Source organism: Homo sapiens, chromosome 12 (genome assembly GCF_000001405.40).
Source record: "Homo sapiens chromosome 12, GRCh38.p14 Primary Assembly".
Lineage (NCBI taxonomy): Eukaryota > Metazoa > Chordata > Mammalia > Primates > Hominidae > Homo > Homo sapiens.
Genome location: NC_000012.12, coordinates 42,156,752 through 42,173,598, shown reverse-complemented (window position 1 = coordinate 42,173,598; position 16,847 = coordinate 42,156,752). Strand labels below are relative to the sequence as shown.

General features: G+C 36.8%; 1 protein-coding gene across 15 annotated transcripts in view, besides 1 other annotated feature; it reads left to right on the top strand.

The window, feature by feature from the left end:
* YAF2 (YY1 associated factor 2) overlaps positions 1–16,495 on the top strand; it is an 81,145-nt gene extending 64,650 nt beyond the window's left edge. For 10 of the 15 annotated variants that reach the window (NR_135140.2, NM_001190977.3, NM_005748.6 and 7 more), the window contains 2 exons: positions 11,834–11,986; positions 12,773–16,495. Coding sequence is in view for 9 of the 15 variants with exons in the window: in NM_001190977.3 (NP_001177906.1) it covers positions 11,834–11,986; positions 12,773–13,010 (391 nt within the window). In the remaining 6 variants the exon portion in view is untranslated. Of the gene's footprint in view, positions 1–1,389; positions 1,460–11,833; positions 11,987–12,772 lie in introns of those variants that run through there. The other 5 variants (XR_007063026.1, XR_001748538.2, XR_001748537.2 and 2 more) reach the window with 3 other exon arrangements.
* Positions 4,205–4,405: a silencer, noted in NCBI's record as "peak1683 fragment used in MPRA reporter construct". NCBI's record gives its function as "represses an SCP1 promoter by STARR-seq MPRAs in K562 erythroleukemia cells {active_cell/tissue: K562}" and the evidence as "EXISTENCE:reporter gene assay evidence [ECO:0000049][PMID:32103011]".
* Positions 16,496–16,847: the final 352 nt, after the last annotated feature.

Below are 16,847 nucleotides of genomic sequence, written 5' to 3'. Positions count from 1 at the left end.
AAAGAAAAATGGAAAGGGCTTAAATGTTTAGTTGGCTAAGAGGAAGGGAAAGTTGAGAGTGACCTATTTGTAGTCTTGAAGATTGTCCTTAGTCTTTCAAATTAAGTGAAAAGCAAATGCCAAACTGTCGTGTCATTTAATGATTTGAGAGGCTTTGCTGAAAACTTTAACCTAGTTTTTATAGAAATGATGTAAGTAATCTGTTTTGTCTGTGCTTACCAAGGACTATCTTAGTATTTGTCAAGGAATCAAGTCTTCCTGGTACCACCTGCCAGGAGTTGGGGGAAAATTGTGTTCTGGTCTGCTGCAGAAGTGTTTGCTATTGAAAATTAAATACATATAGACCGTGGAGCCCCGTTTGTGACTATAGTCTTAGCTGCTCAAGAGGCTGAGAAAGAAAGATCTCTTGAGCCCAGGAGTTTGAGGCTGCAGTGTCTATGACTGTGCCATTGCACTGCAGTCTGGGCAATAGAGCGAGACCCCATCTCTAGTATTTAGAAGAATTTTTACTCCAGACTCTCTCTTTCTCTCTCTCCCTCTCTCTCTCTCTGTCTCTCTCTCCCTCTCTCATGTCCATTTGCAGTTACTCTCCATTTTGTTCCTTAATGTCCTAACCCTGAGCAACCACAGGTCTACTTCCTGTTTCTATGAATTTGCCTATTTTGGACATTTTATATAAACAGAACCATGCAAGAATATGTGGTCTTTAATGACTGGTGTTTTTCACTTAGCATAATGCCGTAGGCTCATCCATGTTGTAGTATCTGTCAGTATTTCATTCCTTCTTTATGGTGAAATAATATTTCATTTTATGAATATACACCATATTTGATTTATCCATTCATCAGTTAGTAAGCATTTGGGTTGCTTCCGCTTTGGGGCTGTTAAGGATAATGCTTCTGTGAACATTCATGTACACATTTTTGTGTGAACATATGTTTTCATTTCTCTTGGGTATGTACTTGATTTATTCACTCCTGTGCAGACTTCAGAATAGCACTTCTGCTATCTCTGGGCTTCTGTATTTTTCAAACCTTTTAAATATGTTACCAATTAGGAATGTTGTAGCCCCTGCCCTAGTCGCTTAAAAAAAATTCAGGTCTCATGTTGGCTTATATAAAATTGTATGACATCTAAATTCATCCACCACTGTATCACACATGCCTCAGCTGAAGCATATTTAAGAAGGCTCTAGCCCATCTGCTGATGGTACATGCTGTCATTGTGGCTTAGTAGCCAGGTAGATGGATGCATATAAGAGATTTCAAATTATAATAATTTATAATTTTGTACGACTTCTGTCCTTTATTATGATAAAAATGTAAGTGGTTACTAACTACTGTTAATGATGCAACTTTAACTCAAAAGTCCTTGTATCTTTCTTTCAAGCTTCTAAATTACTTTAATTGAAGAGCTTCCCAAGATTCAAGGTGAATTTAAAGTTAAAAGATTGTCATTTGTAAGTACTTAACTGTGTGAATAAGGATTTTCCCAGCATTGCACAACTAAATCAAATATAGAAAGAGCATAGAGCATTGGAAGAATAAAAAACAGATAGCATTAATGTTTGAAATGTAGTTAGAGGCTGGTTTGTTGAGGAGCCTAAATACTTGTTTTTAAACTCTTTTTTTGTTTGAGACAGGGTCTCCCTCTGTCTCCCATTCTGGAGTGCAGTGGAACGGTCATGGCTTACTGCAGCCTCAACCTCCCAGGTTCAGGTGATCCTCTCATCTCAGCCTCCTGGGTAGCTGGGACTACAGGCACGCACCAGTACACCTGGCCAATTTTTTTTTTTTTTTGTATTTTCTGTAGAGATGGGGTTTCACCATGTTGCCCAGCCTGGTCTTGAACTCCTGAGCTCAAATAATCCACCCACCTCAGTTTTCCAAAGTGTTAGGATTATAGGCGTGAGCTACCACGCCCAGCCAGATATGAGATTTTTGTAATGAGAAAATGATCAGGAGTTATATACCCAGTTCTGGCCCTTTTGCTTGTAGTCTGTAAGAATCATAGGCAAGTGCTTAGTTGATTTTATTTTTAAAAGTAATTCTACAAGTAACATATTTCTTTCTTTCTTTCTTTTTTTTTTAATTTAAAGAGATGGGGTCATACCACGTTGCCCAGTCTGAAATGCCAGTGGCTATTCAGAGGTATGATCATAGTGCACTGCAGCCCCTCTAACTCCTGGCCTCAAGTGATCCTCCTGCCTCAGCCTCCTGAGTGACTGGGACTACAGGCATGCACCACTATGCCTGGATAGTACATTACCTACTTTACAATATTAGAATATTACAGATTAAACAGTTCTGGCTGGGTGTGGTGGCTCACACCTGTAATCCCAGCATTCTGGGAGGCCAAGGTGGGCGGATCACTTGAGGTCAGGAGTTGAGACCAGCCTGGGCAATATGGTGAAATCCCGTCTCTACTAAAAATGCAAAATTAGCCAGGTATGGTGGCACATACGTGCAATCCCAGCTACTTGGGAGGCTGAGGCAGGAGGATTGCTTGAACCCAGGAGACGGAGGTTGCAGTTAGCCGAGATCACGCCACTGCACTCCAGCCTGGGAGACAGAGTTTCACTCTGTCTAAAAACAAAAACAAAAAAAAACTAAACAATTCCTGACCACTTACGTTGCTCTAGTGCTCTCTCCCACTTCCCACCATTCAACATTTAGAGCGGATATTAGGGGAAAGAAATATGTTTGTATTTTTGTTGAATACAAACATTATTCTTGAAGAATATGGGTAATAATGATACTATTGGAGAGGTGGATCTACAGGCTAGAGTGCAGTGGCACAATCACGGCTCACTGCAGTCTCAACCTCCCAAGGCTCAGGTGATCCTCCTGTCCCTTACTCCCAGTAGCTGGGACTAAAGGTGCTTGCCACCATGCCCAGCTAATTTGTGTGTGTGTGTGTGTGTATAGTTTTTTGTTTGTTTGTTTGTTTTTAGTAGAGACAGGGTTTCACCATATTGCCCAGGCAGGTCTCGAACTCCTAGGATCAAGTGATCTGCCTGCCTGAGCCTCCCAAAGTGCTGAGATTATAGGCGTGAGCCACCGCATCTGGCCACAAGTTTTCTATATAGAGGAAACAAATGGAACTCTTAGAGTGGATGAGCTCCCTGAAGCAGAATATAAACCAGGAACCAACACAGATATCAAGTATTCTTTGTTATCATTAAGATACGCAAGATAAATGAGCATGTTTTGAGATAAATTATTATTTTAAAAAGGGAAAGATGGAAGATTCAGGAGAGAACAAGGGCTATTTAATTCATTCAGCAATCATTTGTTGAATGCCTATCAGGCTCTGAGCTTGTTACCAGTGTTTCAAAAATGAAAAGACACAATCCTTCAGGAGCTTGCAAGCATACCTACAATTATGGTGTAATGTGACTGACTGACTTATCAAAAACACATAACATAGCCGGGTCTGGTGGCTCATGCCTGTAACCCCAGCACTTTGGGAGGCTGAGGCAGGAGGATTGCTTGACCTCAGGAGTTTGAGACTAGCCTGGGCCACGTTGTGAGACCCTCATCTCTACAAAAAATAAAAAAATTACCCAGGTGTGGTGATGCGTGCCTGTGGTACCAGTTACTTTGGAGGCTGAGGTAGGAGGATAGCTTGAACCCAGAAGGTTGAGGCTGTAGTGAGTTGTGATTGTACCACTGCACTCCAGCCTGGGTGACAGTGCAAGACTCTGTCTTAAAAAAAAAAGAAAGGAGAGAGAGAGAAAAGGAAGGAAGGAAACTCTTCTACTATATATCTCTAACCCTGCTACTTCCTAAAATTTAGTCTTGTAGCTCCACCACTCCAATAGTGTCATTATTACCCATATCCTTCAAGAATAATGCTTGTATTCAACATGAAAAGAGAAGAAGTTGGCTGGGCACGGTGGTTCACACCTCTAATCCCAGCACTTTGGGAGGCTGAGGCAGGTGGATCTCTTGAGTCCAGGAGTTTGAGACCAGCCTGGGCAACATGGTGAAACCTGTCTCTACAAAAAATACAAAAATTAGCCCGGTGTGGTGGGGCATGCCTGTAGTCCTAGCTACTTGGGAGGCTGAGAGGGGAGGATTGCTTGAGCCCAGGAGGCAGAGGCTGCAGTGAGCTGAGATTGTGCCAATGCACTCCAGCCTGGGGGACAGTGAGACTATGTCTCCGAAAAAAAAGAAAAGAAAAATTAAAGAGAAGAGATTAAGAACAGCATGAAGTAACCTCAACATTAAAGGGGCTGGAAGAGGAAGTTCTAAGAGGAGCCAGTTTAGATATAAGATGACTGAGAAGGACCTACTTACTGGAGAAGGTAGGAAGAGGAATAAGAAAGTAGAACCTTTGTAGCTATGGTGCAGGAGAATGTTAAATAATGTCATGATACACAGAAGTCAAATAAGATGAGGACTGAAAGCTGTCTTTTGGTTTTGGCATACTTGGTGACCTTAGTATGGTTTCTTTAGTGGATAGGAAAGAGGTTTGGAAAGGTAGAAGTGAAGACAAGGACACAACTGAGAGAATAGCAGACATTTTCAAAATACTGGAAGAGGAGAAAGGAAGAGCAAGTAAACAAGGGATTAAGGGAGGAGTTTTTTCCTTCTAGATGGGAGAGACTTCAGTATATTTCTATGTCTGTGAAAGGAGTATAGTGTTCTTATGATGGGAGGGGTGGTATGAGCCCCACAATATTTACAACATTTTAAAAGGTAATTGTGAGTTTTTAAACTTAGTAAATTAAAATATTAATACTAATTATAAATTTAATTAGAAAATTTTAAGTTTTTAAAAAATATTTAGGCAGGCCATCTCAACCAAATGACATGTAAATGTGCAAATATGCCCTTAGATCTAGAGTTTGTATAGTAGATTCTGCTTACTGTAACTACTTTGAGAACAGTGGCTTGTTCCTGTGAATGGAGTGTTCTTGTTTTTTTAAAGGAGAAATTGTGTATAAAAAGGATTTTGATAGTTTTGGGGACAATAGCTAAATACCAGGTTAGAGTCTTTATTTTGTGCAATGTAAGATAATCATTTTTCCGAAAAGAATTTAAGGAAGAAGCCAAGCCTCTTCAAACTGAATCACCCTGCTTAAATTTTATGACATAAAATTTCTGTCTTTCGGCCAGGCATGGTGGCTCACATCTATAATCCCAGCACTTTGGTAGGCCGAGGCAGGTGGATCACTTGAGGTCAGGAGTTCAAGACGAGCCTAACCAACATGGTGAAACCCCGTTTCTACTAAAAATACAAAAAAAATTAGCTGGGCATGGTGGTGCACACTTGTAATCCCAGCTACTAGAGAGGCTGAGGCAGGAGAATCACTTGAACCCACAAGGCGGAGGTTGCAGTGAGCTGAGAGTGCGCCATTGCACTCCAGCCCGGGCAACAAAAGCGAAGCTCCATTTCAAAAAAAAAAAAAAAAAAAATGCTGTCTTTCTTTTCTTGAGATAGACGTGATGGGAAAGTTTGTCAGGAATGTTGTGGGAGTTATGTGAGACAAAAGTGTAACAGAATCCTAGATTTAAAAATATTATGCCATCAAGATATATTTGTATATTATTCATAAATATTACTTAAAGTATTTTATAACTTACAGTATATACATTTTTAACATTCATTATTTTATTTGGCTTACCCAGTAATCTTGGGATGCAGTCAGAGCTCGAGGTATGGAAACAAAGCCAGACGATGACTTGACTGTCCTGGACTGTAGCTGGGACTATAGGCATGTGCCTGCGTCACCACTCCTGAGTAACTTTATAGAGACAGGGTTTTGCCATGTTGCCCAGGCTGGTCTCAAACTCCTGGGCCCAAGCAGTCTGCCCGCGTTGGCCTCCCAAAGTGCTGGGATTATAGATGTGAGCCACCGAGCCTGGCCAGAAATTTTCAACAGCTTTTCGTTTATTGAATTTCTGTTGTGTGCTATTTATATTTTTCAACATTGAGCTAAGAACCAAAAATGGTAATTCTAATACAGTAATATTTAAATAATTAGTTACAGGATATGTGTATTGTTTTAATATGTAGATACACAAATGATTTTTCTTAAGTTGGACCCAATTTTAGTTTTTGAGTCCTTTTTCAAGTGGTTCTACCTATAGATTTGATACTTTATGTTTTGTTCTTTCCTTGAGGTCTTCAAAGAAGGAGAACATTTATTTTTTGAAATTACCATATGGACCTTTTGGTCCCTTTTATATTTCTGTCATATATAACGGGATCTTAGTTATTTGATTTTTTCCTATATCTTGAGATAGTTTGCTATTACATCCTAGGAACTATTTTATTTATTTTTATTTTACTGTAAGTTCTGGGATACATGTGCAGAACATGCAGGTTTGTTACATAGATAGACATGTGTCATGGTGGTTTGCTGTAACTGTCAACCCGTCATCTAGGTTTTAAACCCCGCATGCATTAGGTATTTGTCCTAATACTCTCCCTCCCCTTTCCCCCCACTCCCCAACAGGCCCCGGTGTGTGATGATCCCCTCCCTGTGTCCATGTGTTCTCATTGTTTAGCTCCTACTTATGAATGAGAACATGCAGTGTTTGGTTTTCTGTTCCTAGGAACTATTTTATCTTTACTACTTAGTTATTTCCAACTGTATTAAAAAGAGACCAAAATAATAAGAAAACAGAAAAATGGTGGCATCATCTAGAAGGATAGTGCAATTTTGAAAAAAAAATCCAGTGTTTTATCATCTTCCCAGAAAGTACAAAAGTGTAGAGACAGTATTTTTGTAGTCTTTGCCCTCCTTTTTTTTTTTTTTAACTTTCATTGAACACATTTGAGAATTCAGAATTTTTCATTTTCTGCTCCTAATGACAGGAAGATTTACAAGATGTTTCACAGTTACTAGATGAATCAGGGGATGGTGTAAAGCCAGTGATAGTGGCATCCAAAATTGTAGTGATGTTGAAATTGACCATATAAGGGAAATCTCAGACCATGAGTCTTCAGATGACAATATCCTTGTTCATTTTTCTCAAACTCAGTAATTGATAAGTGAACAAATATTTCTGAGCACAAAAAGTATATATGATTTCTCATATAAGTAGTCATTCAACAGAAAGGATTTTATCATGCAATATTTTGCAAAAAGAACTTGGAGCATCTTGTTTTGCTTTAAAGACATGTGAAAACATTCTTTATCTTCTATATTTGACACAAAAATTTACTTGAGATAGTTCGTTAGTGGACAGATGCTAAAGGTAGGTATGTGTACCTCATCTACAAATGAAAATGGTAATTCTGAAGCAGAGAGAATGTCTGTCTCTTCAAGAAATTATGAGTTGTCAAGGGTTTCAAAAGTAAAGCATCCTATGATACAAGTCCAAGAAGTGGTAGAAGTAAAGAAAAGCTAAAACCTATTAGAAATGTATTTGAGGCCAGGCGCAATGGCTCATGCCTGTAATCCCAGCACTTTGGGAGGCCAAGACAGGCGGATCACCTGAGGTTGGGCGTTCAAGACCAGCCTGGCCAACATGGTGAAACCCCCTAAAAATATAAAAAATTAGCCAGGCATGGTGGCACACGCTTGTAATCCCAGCTACTCGGGAGGCTGAGGTAGGAGAATCGCTTGAAGCTAGGAGGCTGGAGGTTGCATTGAGCCAAGATCACGCCACCGCACTCCAGCCTGGGTGACAGTGTGAGACTCCGTCTCATTCATAGATAGATAGATATAGATATAGACAGATAGATAGATAGATAGATATAGATAGAATTTAAAACCAAGAATCAGTACTTACAAGATGAATGTTCATAGGATTAGGCATGACAGTTGATGAGGAGTTAGTTACATTAAAAAAAAAAAAAAAAAAAAAAACCTGGCCGGGCGCAGCAGCTCACATCTGTAATCCCAGCACTTTGGGAGGCTGAGGCGGGCAGATCATGAGGTCAGGAGATCGAGACCATCCTAGCTAACACAGTGAAACCCCGTCTCTATTAAAAATAAAAAATAAAAAAAAATTAGCCGGGCATGGTGGCAGGCACTTGTAGTCCCAGCTGCTTGGGAGGCTGAGGCAGGAGAATGGCGTGAACCCAGGAGGCAGAGCTTGCAGTGACCTGAGATCACGCCACTGCACTCCAGCCTGGGCGACAGAGCTAGGCTCAATCTCAAAACAAAAACAAAAACAAAAACAAAAACCTTTTGGCCATTCGAGGTGTAGATAACTTTAAAACCAAGTTATTATAGAATAAGAAATTGGGTTTACTCTCTTTTAAAGTCTTAATAAAATGCTTAATGAAGTCGTTTCATTGTTCTCTTATTAAAAGGGTCCATTGTGATACCTGTTTCTCCTGGTATACTGACCATTTAAACATGGACAGAAGTTATTTCCTCTCTGTCTATAATAACTCCTCCTCCTGTTTTCTCTATCACAACACACAGTTTTTTTGTTTTTAATTTTTAGCGCATGAGGGCAGGGCCTATGTTTGTCTTGTTCATGGTTAATCTCCTTACCTAGTGCCTGACACATGTAAATGTGCAATAAAATTTATCAAACAAGTAGTTTCTTTTCTTTTTTTTTTTTTTTTTTGTTCCAGAAGACAGGGTCTCACTCTGTCACCCAGGGTGGAATGCAGTGGTGTGATCGTGGCTCACTGCAACCTCCACCTCCTGGGCTCAAGCGATTTTTCCACCTCAGCCTCCTACAGGCGCGTACCTTTACTGGCCAATTTCTGTATTTTTTTTGTAGAGATGGGTTTTCACTATGTTGCCCAGGCTGGCCTCGAACTCCTGGACTCAAATGATCTGCCTGCCTTGGCCTCCCAAAGTGCTGGGATTACAGGTGTGAGCCACCACGCTTGGTTGTAAACAGGTGGTTTTTTATAAAATCTTTCCTAGGTTAGATTTTTGGGCGTTTGTTAGCCAGAGTATCAACAGATTCACAATATGTATGGATTTAGTCCAGCCTTTTTTTTTTGATGAGATTTACCATATCGCTTCAATTTACCATATATTTTGGTGTTACTAAGCAGATTACTTCTTTTGAAATTTGAGTTATGCTGCCTCTTTTTAGTAAAGAATGTCATTGTTTTTAATACTCTTTTTCTTTCTTTCCTTTCTTTCATCTTACCTGTCCAACATGACAAAGCTAAATTATGATGAAGTTGATCAAGCTGAAAATATTATTCCTCTAATATTTAGCACATGGGATTTTTGTCAGTGGGGGTGGAAGGCAGACCGTAGTTGAAAATTGCATATATGAAGCCAACATGTATTGACCTCCTGCTCACACAGAAGGTCAGCCAGCTCCAAAAATATTTTGTCCTAATGCGTAATAAAATGTTCCCCCTTTTCTTACATTATAGTAAATCAACAGACTGCAAAACTTATACCTTCTATTTGGGCTATCTATGAAAGATACATAGGGATCCCCAAATTGGTGAATATCATATCTGACAAATACAGTCTAATCATGGCATATGTGAATAAGTAGATGATGGACTGTAGTTGGCCAGTGGCTAGACAGTAGTCATTTATTAACTAGGCAACCATTTTGTGCACATCAACTCCTTATCACAGAACCTTTGGCATTACTAAAAGTGTACTGTCAAAACCATGAGTGATAAATCTGTGAACATAAAAGGGTATATTTTATAAATGATACTCTGCCCTTTATTTCCTGAGTTAACTATTTCCTACCTCTAAAATTTCCTCCTATCCTGATTTTTCTCATCAAATAGAAAAGGGATCACAAACCTTAAGATACCTGGAGATAGAAGGGCTTTATTTTTAATAGGGCATGGAGTTGAGTGACTTACGATGTTGTAAAAAGATCATCATAAACTGTGTTCCTCCTACCTTCAGTGAAAGCTCTTTAGCTCCTAGAGAGCAGCAGAGAACTTTATTTGAATAATTGAACTATATACATTTATGTTTTGTGCTTCTTTTCTCTCAGAATTGAACCAGATGAAATAATCATAGAATTGAGGTACAAAATCATAATCTTTAAGTGAAAATCAACCTTCACATTAAAATAAGAATAAAAATGGAATAGTTGTGTAGTATACATTTAGGTAAGCCTAGGATAAAAAGAGAAAGATATGCAACTACTCAAGAACAGAAAAAAAGAACCACTATAGAAAATTTGTTGATGGTTAGAAAATAACAACAAACAACACTAGGTACAGAGATTACATGATCATTTATTAGACCACTAGTCTCACATTTTTACTTCTACTGTAGTGTAGTACCTTTCTATTTCAGACTAATGCCAGTAATCTTTGTAAAATTCAAGTCTGAATTTCTTCAGTGACTTATCATCACTTAAGGATAAAATCAGACTGCTTAGCTTTTAATCATGGGATCCCTTCTTATCTGTCCAGCTTGGTTTTTTTTCACTCTGCCACTCTGCTCTCCATCTCAAACTTTATCTTATAGTAGTAACAGTATTCACCAGATATATTGCATTTCCTCAAGCTTTTTTTTAAAGTGTGGTCCCCAGAGACATCAGCATAACTTGGAAACTAGTTAGAAATACAGTTTCTTGGGCTCTACTTCAAGGCCTACTGAATCAGAAATCCTGCGGGGTAGGGCTAAGCAAGCTAAACAAGCCTTCTTGGTGATTCTGATGTACCTTATATTTGAAAACCACCACCTTAACCCTTTTCTTTTTTAACCTCAGCCATTAACTACCATACTTTCAATATCACTTTTATTTGTGCAACTCTTAATCTACATCTCAAACTCTATGTCAGTCCTATTTTTTAAGTTGTATATTGGACATCTGTCCTGGATATCCTTTCAGTAGTTCAGACTGTCTAGGCCCTGAGCAAAATTCATTATCCATCTCCTGATATCTGCTTTACATACTGTTTCCTATTTTCTCTCAGCCATGCAGCTTTAATTCTTAGATTGTACAATATTTTCTCATTATTTTTTATGTTGTCTTGCCATAGAGGAACAGGAGAAAAAAAGATTTTTTAAAAACTGTACTAACCAAAAAAGGGTGAGGATTTTTCAGGCAATAAAGTTACCATTGTTTGTAGAGCATCTGTTAAAATGTATTTTTATCTTACTTCTTCCCTCCTTCCCTCTGCCTCTTTCCTTGCTATATCCTTCTTTCTCTCTTAAGAACTTAGAGACTGTATTTTGAACCTTAACCTCAGTTGTGCAAGTTCTGTGGCAAAGCTGGACAGGTGAAAGCTTGTACCAGCATCAGATGTTGAAGCCAGGCAACATTTCAGATATCCCTGAACAGTTCTTACAGTAGGTCCTCAATAAATATTTTCTAAATGAGTAAGTTAGCAAGTAGATGAGTCTCAAAAGACTGGGCAGATCTCCAGGGTCAAAAGAGCATGGTGAGATTGTGGCTGGAGATGTAAGAAACTTAAAGGATTTAAGCAATAAGGAGTGAGAAATTTTGATAATAAATGTTTATTAAATGAATAAATGAAAAGCTTTAAAGAACAGATAGCCATTGTCACAAATGGTCAGGTATTTCCTTCTCTGAAGGAGGGATAAATTATTATTTCAGTGAAAACTTTGAAGTTTGATTTTTAGAACTCATGTTTATATGGGTACATCCCATTTTTTTTGATATACATTTAAAATAATTTCTTATGTTGATTTACGTAACAGTATTCTAATGTTTGAGCATATATCTTAGACTATAAATTTTAATTGTTATAGTTTGTTCCATTTTTGTTGAACGGGAAAAACTGATACATATCTTTAAAATTGTATATTTAAATTACCTTACATATGAGGAATTTTTATACTTGAAAGTTATTGTTATTAACTTGTTTTCATAATGTGAGATATTCTGTCATAAAGCACTTATGTTTTAAGTTGTAATTTAAAATACCTTTCTTTTTAACATGCACACAGGAAACCTCGACCTGTCTCCCAGTTGGTTGCACAGCAGGTTACTCAGCAGTTTGTGCCTCCTACACAGTCAAAGAAAGAGAAAAAAGATAAAGTAGAAAAAGAAAAAAGTGAAAAGGAAACAACTAGCAAAAAGAATAGCCATAAGAAAACCAGGTAAATGTGAAGAGTGTTTTATGACATTTTTGAAATAATAAAACCATTTAATTTTTTTAACCTTGACATACTAATATACACAAAGTGGAAGTAAAATATTTGGTCTCCTTTATTATAAGGTATCAGGAAAGGTTTTACTGAGTTTGAAAGATACATAGGAAATTAAACACAGAAGCCAGAAATACAAGCTTAAATGTGATGATGCTTTTTTCTTTTTACGAGATTGGAAGACATTTGTGTCTGGATTTGTTTTGTTTTGTTTTGTTTTTCCCTTAAGAAGAGCTATTTGAACCAGGAGTGGTTTTCAACATACCGAACAGATAATTGCATGGGTTTTAACCTATCAAAATGGTCATGCGTTCAGTCATAACAATCATGATACCCTTATTAGTGTGTGTCAGTGGAGTAACAGTCTTCCTTGCATATAGCTCAACCTTAGCTTTTATCACCTTCCTCCATGGTGCAACTATTTCATTGTTGTCTAAAACATCTATTTTAATAAAATTAATAAGCTGTCTGCAAAATTATGATACAGCTATAGAAGCACAAGTTCTACTTCTAGGCTGTCACAGTTTTTTGGTTGCATTGAAGAATGTTCATGAATGATTGGTTTGATTAATGTTAATGAGTTGAAACATTTTATGATGTTTTTGTGGCTAGTTACACATAAATTGCCTTAAATACATGTATTCATTTTGTTACTTTTACCACTTTTATTATTTATTATATGCTCAGAAATTTGGTAGAGGGAAAAGCTAGTTTAAAATTTCATTTTTTTATGTTTAGGCCAAGATTGAAAAATGTGGATCGGAGTAGTGCTCAGCATTTGGAAGTTACTGTTGGAGATCTGACAGTCATTATTACAGACTTTAAGGAGAAAACAAAGTCACCGCCTGCATCTAGTGCTGCTTCTGCAGATCAACACAGTCAAAGCGGCTCTAGCTCTGATAACACAGAGAGAGGAATGTCCAGGTCATCTTCACCCAGAGGAGAAGCCTCATCATTGAATGGAGAATCTCATTAAAGTTTATTTTCTCCAATTTCTTAGTCACTTCTGTCCTACCATGCAAATACACAGATTATGCCAAGAGGTACCACATTTTCATGACAGATACATTCATGCACAATCCATAATTTGAGTTTTACATAAAATAGAAATTTGTTAGAATTTGTTAGATTTTATTGCAATGATGCCTACCAAACATTTCCAGACTTAACATTTTGGTCTCTGCAGTTAAGTGCCATGAAAATGTGGTTGAATTATTCATTATGCAGTGTTATTGGTAAGTGTATTTTCACTTTTAGTTTAGTGAATTCTAACACATAATTCTTGAATTCTCTACTATTGGCATGTAACGAATTTAAATTTTTTATAACATAGTGCAAGCTGCCTAAATATGTATTATTTGAGAATTGTGAAACAGATAGTTATATGTATACAAGTCAAAGAACAACTTAACTATTGCTGCAACAGGTTTTTCTTAATGGTTATCCTCTTAAATACACCTGCTGGTACTTGGTGTGGTTAAATAGGAAAATTGTTATTAAATAAAGAATTTGTATGAACCTTTGCCAATGTTTTTGACACGTTTTACTAATTATTGTTCCTGAATTATGTTTCTGGTTTTATCTATTTTTTGAGGTTTTTTTGTTTGCTTATTTTTCAAAACATTCATTTATTGTAATGTTTACTAGCGGACTAGTAAACAATAAAACATTGATTATTTAGCTTTATAATTCAGGTTTAGTGCTATTGTCATTGAACACTGGTATTTTCTGTATCATATAAAACATTAAAATTCAAATAATTATAAGCATTTGGCAAAAACAAGAGAAAAGAAACTTGCCATATTTTACAAGCTGCAATTTTAGAAAAGCTTTAACTTAATGATAGTTTTATCATTGTTTTCTTGTCCCAAACTTATCCAGGGCCATAGAAGTATGAATCTAATTAAAACAGAAATGGGAATTATTGCACAGAAATGGGAAATAACTAATTTTAAATCAGTCAAATTGGCTTCTTATTAAATACAATAATTCTTATGAAAATCATAGTACCCTATTTTCAGACACAGCTGCCAGTTTACACATTTCTCAGTATCCTGAAAGGAAAAAAGTATAGCCCCACTTATACTATGTAAAATTACCAATAAAATATTTTTATGACTACAGATTTTGCATTTTTGTTTACAACTATTTAAAGAGTTTTATGTTGTATTTAGAATTTCAACCTAGAAACCACACAGTACTTAAATTCTCCTGGGGTCTCCTGCTTTCTCTTAACCATTTGCTTAATATATATCTACCTAAAGGAGACTTCTGAATTGTAAATGAACTTAAAAATAGAATGTGGATGCAAAATATCACATAAGACATCATGATAACATTTGAAGAAAAAATAAAACTGTAGACCCTAACAGTTGTGATATTTGGTGGTTTCATGTGGTAATGTAATTTTCTGTTTAATTACAGTACTTTTTACAGGCACAGTGGTACTGTCTTTTTTGTAAGATGCTAGTTGTGAAATACAATTAATTGCATACAGTAAAAGTCTGTGATTAAAACATTTATATACCTCATTCTTTAGTGTTGTTAAATGAAAAATTAAAATTTGTGTTTATTATAAGATACTTTCAATGGAATACCAGCTAACCAGATATGTTCCTTTAAAACATGAATTTTTTTGTCTTATTCTGTTTTTAACATGTTTCAAATGTTTTATACATTTTTGGAGATAGTAAAAATTTAAAAATGTAATAGGGAAAATATTTAATTTTTAAGTCAAAAACTATGCTTTAAAGGAATTACATCTTATGATCAAATAACTTTCAGGATGTATTTTAAATGAGCTGCAAGAGAGAAAAATCTGACAGGAGATGGGATTTTACCTGAATGGAGCATACTCATATTTCTACATAGGTGGGAAGATACTCATCTTTCTACATAGACGGGAACACGGTGTAGCATGGAGATTAAGCGTGCTAACTGACACCTCATGTTTGAATCCTGTTGTAGAATGGAAATGAGCTTAAATTACCCAAGCTTACTTTCCATCTATAAAACAGGGCTAATAATGGTAATCACATCTAATTTATAGGGTTTTTGGGAGGATTAAGTCAATCCGTGTAAAATTCTTAATTATCTGACACATACTGGTCACTCAGTAAATGTGAGCTTTTACCATTGTTATAGGTAAAATCCCATTACAAAAATACAAAAATATTTTTTGTAACAGTTATTTTCCTGCCCTCTTGGATGACCTAAAGTAATAGTGTTTTATAGATTTCACTAAATTTTCAGTGTAATATCAGATGTTTTCTCTGGATGCAGAAAGACCATCTTTCCATAATTAAAGAACCTGGTGGGTGTGCACTATGAGATTGGAGAAATGAATTAAGTTGACTTGAAATTATTTTACTTTTATTAATCACAGGTATCTCAACCTGCCTTTGTTTCACCCTACTTCAAGTACACTTCCACACCAGGAAAACAGACCCAAATTCCATAAACAGAACTGACGTTAAAATATGCGAAAGATTCAGAACCTAGGTTTAGGGTACATGTTTTTCTCTGTTTCATGAACTTACAGTGTGGTTTGAGCACTGGGTTCTTTTAGCCAAATTCCATACAAAAAGAATTTGGATGTTTTCCAGCATTTATTACCTTACTTTGCTATAAGTAAGAGTGAAGATAGGCCGGGTGTGATGGCTCATGCCAGTAATCCCAGCACTTTGGGCTGAAGCAGGCAGATATTTTGAGCCCAGGACCAGCCTGGGCAACATGGTGAAAGCTCATCTCTATGAAAAAATTTGAATATACATATATATATATATGTATATTTAAAAAGTGAATATAATTTGAGGCACAGAAGAATATTCTTAAAACCTTTTGTATTATACAATAGAAATAAAGGTTTTATTTTTATTAAATGCTTTCCTAAAATGATAGTGGATAATAGACAAAGTGAAAACATTTAAAAAGGAAGAGAAACTTCAGCCTTTCTAAGTTGATAGCATGTTTATTAACTTTTAGATAAAGATCCTTATAGACTGAAAGAATGTAGCCTCTGCATTAATGGTAAATGGTCTAGAAGTTTTCGTTTCCACTGAGGCTTCCGCCACTCGCTTTTTTAAACTTCCTGCTATGGTTTGGATATGGTTTGTCCTCACCAAAACTCATGCTGAGGCCTGAGTCCCCAGTTTGATTGTGTTGGTAGGTGGTGCCTTTAAGAGGTGATTAGGTCATTGAGATGGATTAAAGGCTTTCTCATGAGGCTCAGTTAGTTCTGGAATGGATTCGCTCTTGCAGGAATGGATGAATTCTCACAAGAGTGGGTTGTTATGAAGTGAGGATGCTTCTTGTGTTCTGTTCTCTTTGCCCTCCTCAGTTCACCATCTGCTTTCCACCATGAGTTGAAGCAGCATGAGGCCCTCATCAGATGGGCTCCCTGATCTTGGACTCCTCAGCCTTTGGACTCATAAGCCAAAATAAATCTGTTTTCTTTATAAATTGCCCAGTCTCAGGTATTCTGTTATAGCAAAAAAAAAAAAGTGGATTGAGATACTTTTTTGCTCTGCTACTTACCTCTTTTCCAGAATCTTTTAAGGACTTGATGTAGGAACTGAGCTATTTAGTAAGTCATTGGTAGAAGTTTCCGCACTGTACTTTGAAAATTAAGTGAAAGCAGAAAAGTGAGTGCGTATGTAAGGAAAATAATAGTAAAAGAACGCTTTGACTTCTTAGCACTCGCCCTCTCCTGTATATCCCCAGGCACCTTCAGTTGTCTGGAACAAAGAATGTAGGAAAAACTGAAGAAATTCAGAACAGTTACCAATGACAAAAATCACTGATCAGAATAAAA